The sequence below is a fragment of the Homo sapiens genome, chromosome 20, assembly GCF_000001405.40.
Source record: "Homo sapiens chromosome 20, GRCh38.p14 Primary Assembly".
Classification (NCBI taxonomy): Eukaryota; Metazoa; Chordata; class Mammalia; order Primates; family Hominidae; genus Homo; species Homo sapiens.
This window is the reverse complement of record NC_000020.11, coordinates 16,747,630-16,753,804: the sequence shown is the minus strand read 5'-3', so window position 1 is coordinate 16,753,804 and position 6,175 is coordinate 16,747,630. Positions and strand designations below refer to the sequence as shown.

Sequence of the window (6,175 nt, the reverse complement as noted above, 5' to 3'; positions counted from 1 at the left end):
AGCTGGCTTATGAAACCTACCTGCCTTTCCTCCCCACATCCACTGCTCTGCAATGGTTCTTTATTCTTCTATAGGTAGATGTCTTACTTCCCATACTCTGTGAGGTCAGAGATGGAGGATTAAATGTCTTCTTTCTCTCCCACAAGGAGGCAGGACGAGCTGCATAGTAAAACTTAAGCCCTTCCTACACGAAATTAACTATCTTTAGACTAAAAGATAAACAGTAGCAGCGCCCTTGTTCTGTTTAATCTTGGCTAAAACAGAATGAGTTTGCGTAGCTGGGGACTCTCCACAATGGAGCTGGGTCACAGGTACTCAAGTGGCCAGGCCCAACTACCTGGTACATGATTAATAAACTAAGGCAAAGACTTGGGCTGCTTAAAATATATACGTATTTAATATAGATAAATAGAGAGAGATATAGATATATATCATTTAGCTTGGGGTATCAAGGAAGCCTACAAGTTAGGGTTAGACTAAAATTCTTTTTATGTTAACAGTTGACAACCTTTTAGAGGTGTGAAGATGCCCTTTCTCTTAGTGGGAAAGGGAGAAAAACAATTCATCAAATGGAAAGGAGTCCCAAAGGCCTCACTGCCCACAAACTCTCACCCTGGCACCATTCTGCCCCCTTTTCTCTGGGTAGACATCAGTGGAGAATCAAGACAGTGCTGTGATAGGGTTGGGAAAGTACTGATAGGAATGTTGCAATCCTGTTGTTTAATTTGGAGAGAGTTGCTGTATCTCCTATATACTCTAGCCTTTTGTTTATTTCTTTTTCTGTAAGATGAGTAGAGGGAACTAAAATCAGTGTTTCTCAATCTTTAATGAGCACAGGAACCCCCTGAGTTATTGTTAAAAATGCATATTTTGACACAGAAGGCATGCAGTGGGCAGAGATTCTGCCTGCTAACCAGCTCCCAGGTGAGGACCACCTGCTGCTGCTGCTGGTCCAGGGTTGGCCATTTGCATTTTTAGAGGACAGATGAATGTTTAAAGTCCTGCAAGTGCTTGCTTTCTTTTAATGCAGATAGGCCCCAGAAGATAGAAATCAGTCAATGACCTTCCAACTCCTGGATGAGCTCAGTTTTGATGGGTTGGAGCTGACTGAGTTAAGGAGGGAGTTCTGCCCTGGAAGCCCCATGCATGGGGAGTGAAGCTGTGTGCCTAAGGCCAGGTGGGAGCAATGGGGTTGCTGGGCACCTCAGGTGTTCTGGGTGTTTCTGGAATGGAAAGGCCAGGAAGTGAGAGGCAGATAGAAGCAGAAGTAGGATAAATACCTCTTAGTCTAAAGTTGTGTCGAGAGCCCTAGATGCTACTTGAAACCTCTTTGGAATAAAGTAAAATAGAAACAAATAAACATTGGTATTTTATTTTATTGTGTTTTGCATTTTGGTACTTTACTTGACCGACCTACATAAGAATTTGGTAAAAAGATATTCACCCAAAATCACAGCTGACAGAGCTAAAAAATGACCCTGGGCCAAGTCTGTGGCTCACCCTAAATGCCCTCTTCTGCTCTCTTCTTCATGCTTAGGGGATGTCCAGATCACAGAGAACTGAAAAACAAGCTTCATTCCCAACTCCCCCACACTTTCATTCTCTAAGGTGAAAAATGTTTTAGAAAAAACTCAGAATTGTGACATTAAGTAGAGGCATTTTAATTATATGCAAACAAAGAAAAACTCATGACTACATCAAAAGAATTATATTAATAACACAAAATCAAAGCATATTTCCAGTTAAATATAGAAAAACTTGTGGGCCCATCAGGACCACAAAACCTGCATCCTCCTCAGATTTCTTGATATATCACACTTGACTAGAGGAATTTGCACAGGAAGAGGAAATTCAAAGTTGAAATAGAAGTAGAGAAAATAACCTACAGACTTTTTTTTTTCTGGGTCTTTTGATGACTTGCAGCTTGAATAATATCCAGCAAGGATACATATTAAGGGAAAACTATTCCATTAAAAATATTTCCATAAACTACCTTCCCCTATTAAATATACACATACTTCTTTAAAATTGGGGGAGAAGTAAATTGATCATTTAGAAGGCAAGTTATTCAACTGAAATCATTTTTGAGATTTTTCTAAATGACAAATTAGAGACATCATCCAAACATCTATGGGTCCAAAAACTCTTCTTCCCCCAACAGCTTTACCTCCAAAAGGCATCAAATATTAAAAGTAACAAAAATACTAGAATACTCTTTGATAATACAGACCTTTTATTAATAATTCAATTGGCCAGAGAGACAAATGAGTAGAAAACATCATGTCTAAAGGGAAGACATACGACCCACCTATTTTATATATGGCAAATCAAAGAGCTGGGAAGAATTACTACTTAGAAATAACTACACATACATGATCTGTTATATGCATCCCCCTGTAAGAGGAGATTCTCTAGGTTGAAAAAATAATTTTCTGGTCTCAATTTACCCATTTGAGCTCAACATTTCCCCGCTCTAGCTCGTGGGCAGACCAGGCCAGCAGGAAACAAGATTTGAGTTGAAAATCCTCTTTTATCTGCCACCTCCAACCCCTAAGCCCTTGCTCTTCTGTAAGGTAACAAATTCTTAAAACGTCAGTCCAAAATTACAGACATGCATTTTTTGGCCACTTTTGCTCTTTTCTTTATTTTTGGTGTTTTCTTTCTATTTGCAGTTTTAACTAATTTATTACTCGCAGAAGAAGTCAATATCCTGGAAAAAAACAAAAACAAAAAAAGATTGAACGAAATAGCCTAGGCTAAAAAAACAGATGTAGATTCTGTATTTAAAGTCATATCTAATCAGAGAAATTTGGATTTAAAGTAAGTAAAGGTTGACCCCCAAAAAATATGAAATATTTACCACTTTAAGTCAAAAACTACTTACAATGAAGGTCCTAAAATGAACCTTTAATTTGCAGTTATCTGACAGATTTCAGCATAATGCTAAGAAGTGATGACAAGTGAGTCCCATTTGTGTAGGATGAGCAGTGTTTGAAGCACAACAATTAGCTCCAGAAGAATCACTTCAAAACAAGCACCTTGCAAAGTAGCTCAGAAAGCATCTTTTATTTCTGTCCTGAGTTTACAGGACCCCAGGGCATTAGGAAGAGTATAACTTTATTTCATACATAAATAGAATCTATTTACCACAAAAATAAGACATTCAAAGATTGTTCTAGAATATTTCGATTTGATCAAAAACATAATAATTTTTTTTCAGCCTATCTTTAGTGAAAACCATCTGTAAGAGTCAGTGCTGACTTTGGTTTCTTTATTTGTTACATAGACTGCTTTGCAAGACAACTTGCATCTAAAACAAAAGAGGTACTGTATTGTATACTTGAAATTTACTAAGAGGGCAGATCTTAATGTTTTCACACACACACACACACACACACACAAAGGTAACTATGTGAGGTGATGTATGTGTTAACTAGCTTGAATGTGATGATCATTTCACAATGTATATCAAAACATAATGTATGCATTAAATGTATGCAATTTTTATTTGTCAATTATAACCCAATAAAGCTGAAAAAATATAGAAAAAAGATGAGACAAAAAGTAGTAAACTGAAATAAAACAAAAGGGGGTGGTATAGAGAAAGTTTACTCATCTTTCAACTTTGACAGTAGTTATAAATGGTCCCCCAAACCTCATTATCTCAGAAAAGTCGCCACTGAAAGTTGGAGGCTTTGTTCTATACAACTTGTAAGTTGCATGATGCATTTTTAACACCGGCCTACATTGCCCCAAGATCTGAGTCCTTGTCTAGTCACTTTTGAGATGCTTACCGTGGTGGGAACTTCCTTGGTAGCTTCCTGGTACACACGCTGTTCCTTGACCAAGTTCCTGGGGAAATAACCCACGACTCCCATCTCGTCCTGGCCATCACCATAAACCTAAGTGCCCAGAAGAATAGCAATCAGGAAAAAGCTGATGCTGAGTGTCTTCTGAGAAACTCGCAGGCGTCCTCTTTGCTGATAGTGAGAATCATAGCTGCCAATACCTCCCTTTCACTCCGGGGTCCAGGGGGCGCTGCGGCAAATCCGAAGTTTACTTGGAGCACTAAGTTAACCCGCAGGAATTGTGCATCTACTGTTTAGTGGCCCAGTCTTATTTCGCTACTTTAGCATGACTTTATTTTACGCAATCTTGTGAGTTGCCTGAAATCTTTTTTGAACCCATAAATAAATATATAAAGACAGTACATTTTTTTAAAGTACTGTAGACACTTATTTTAAATGATGCAAATTTCTCAGTTTTCAACAATTCAAATGAACAGACTTAAATGGCTTTAAATTTAATCCTTCATTAATTTAGAACTTACCTTTAGGGTTGCAGATGAGGACAGAAAATCATCCCTGCTTCATCCCTCCCCAGGGACCGCCCCTGTATATTTTAACTGAAGAACGCTGATTCTTTCGAATTAATTAGGGTGCAAAGTTTCCTAAAAGAATATTGATACTTAGACTCACTGCCAACACACATGCCTTCTACTTGGCAAATCTTCTCAGACGTTTTCGGATAAGATTCAAATTCTTTGGGATGTTTAAGCCCCCATGTATTTGACTCTTTTTTTACCAAAATATCACATTAACCTACATTTGGTTTTGTTACGAAATTGATCTTTCTTTCTTTAAAATGCAATAGCAAATATACCTGAATTTTTGCATTTCCATCTACAATCACTACATGGTTCTTAACAACTAGTATTAAGCATTAAAATAGGTTGAAGGTAGGTAATCAAGGAAAGGTTAAGAGCAATATTCGTCAATAGGTGTTTAAATTATCTTACACTGCCAGCCCAAAATTCTCCAGCTCCATTTTCTTTTACCAGCTTTGAGTACACATAGATCTGCTGCCCTTTTTTAACGTTAATGAATCTACAGTCCGGGGCATTATAATCTTCTTGAGCACTAGCCAGAGAAATAGTATCTGGAAGAAAAAAAATTTAAATGATTACATTTTAGGCTCCTGAATTTTATAACAGTAAAAGGCAATGTATATTAGAAAAACTAGAAAATCAGAGTGACTGATAATTCCCAGTTCATAGCTGGTGTCTATCCAAGAGAAAGAAGACAGCCAAGATATTAAAGCTGCAACAAAACTCAGCCAAGTGAATTCTCCGTAGTAAGATACCAAACATGCAGACCAGAAGAAACAAAGCTGATAACATACACATTGGAGAAGATTCACTTCAAAGTATAATTCGATTTTATGCTATTAGTGGATATATTTTCAATTATGTAATAGAAAGATAATGAAAAGCATAAAAAAGTCCTTACAGACACACTCATCATCTGCACAGAGCTTCTTGGAAGCTAGACGGTCCATAAATATTCCATGCACAGCACATACAGCCACAAGACCCGGGAGGAAAAGTAACAATATTCTTGCCATCTTCCTTTTTTCTGTTTTAACTTGAACTCTGACTGGAAGCGGGGACTGACTTCAGTGGTTCCTGCCTTTTATGTGAAAGCCAGAGCTCTGGGTAAATACCCTGGCCAATTAGAAGGGCCTACCACCCCTCCGTTTTCATAACAGGCTGCTCGGCTTCAGGGGCTATTTAGCGTCTGATTTTCCAAACAGAGTCAAACTCTGTGTCTTTCTATACACAGATAATATCCAAAATGGTCCACTATTGTTAAAGCCGCTTTAGCAGTGGTCTATTGTATCAATCAGTAGGGCTTTGCTGAGAGGACTATGAGAATTTCAAACCATTTTTAGTTTTAATTCACCCCTAATTTTCCTTCAGCTTATGAGCAAAGACATACTAGTTGTAGGAATTTGTTGAAAATGTGAGATCTATAGCACAAATAATTTGATTTAAACAAATTCAATTAATAAATCTGGATTTACGTAATAGATAAATGAAAGATTCTTATGCTTACAAATCTTTCATGATAGGATTCTTAGAAGGCATGCCTGTCCCAGGCTAGAGATGAATTCTAACATACTAATTGATGCCCCATTTAGACCCTACCAGTGGGGAAAGAGATGGGTGGGTTGGGAAAAATAGGTCAATCTTTCCCCTACCTCTTCTCTCTAAGACTTTTGCAATTCAGTCTCAAATGCTCAAGGGTGACAGGTCAAAGAGAAGAGAGTGAAGTTACAAGTTTATGTTACCTGGAACTTCCTGCTTCTGAGCATGTTTCCCATGGGGAGAGGAGCA

At 37.8% G+C, this 6,175-nt stretch overlaps 1 protein-coding gene across 2 annotated transcripts; it reads right to left on the bottom strand.

Annotated features, from left to right (window-relative positions):
- Nucleotides 1-1,640: 1,640 nt before the first annotated feature.
- OTOR (otoraplin) lies at nucleotides 1,641-5,447 on the bottom strand. Of its 2 annotated transcripts, NM_020157.4 has the most exons (4): nucleotides 5,289-5,447; nucleotides 4,799-4,938; nucleotides 3,795-3,902; nucleotides 1,641-2,710 (listed from the first exon to the last, which is right to left on the bottom strand). In NM_020157.4, exons 1-4 carry the CDS (start codon nucleotides 5,401-5,403, stop codon nucleotides 2,687-2,689), a joined length of 387 nt encoding a protein of 128 aa, NP_064542.1. In that variant the 5' UTR covers nucleotides 5,404-5,447; the 3' UTR covers nucleotides 1,641-2,686. The 2 variants fall into 2 exon arrangements, with proteins under 2 accessions (NP_064542.1, XP_016883448.1); XM_017027959.3 differs by lacking the exon at nucleotides 1,641-2,710 and having other exon boundaries at nucleotides 3,607-3,902.
- Between the last annotated feature and the right edge of the window lie 728 nt (nucleotides 5,448-6,175).

Excerpts from the sequence above, each read along its gene's own strand:
- OTOR (XM_017027959.3), bottom strand. The coding sequence starts at position 5,403 with ATGGCAAGAATATTGTTACTTTTCCTCCCGGGTCTTGTGGCTGTATGT. Across the intron at positions 4,939-5,288 it reads TGCAGATGATGAGTGTGTCT|ATACTATTTCTCTGGCTAGT; the intron begins GTAAGGACTTTT and ends TTTTTCTTCCAG. Across the intron at positions 3,903-4,798 it reads GAGAATTTTGGGCTGGCAGT|GTTTATGGTGATGGCCAGGA; the intron begins GTAAGATAATTT and ends CTGGGCACTTAG.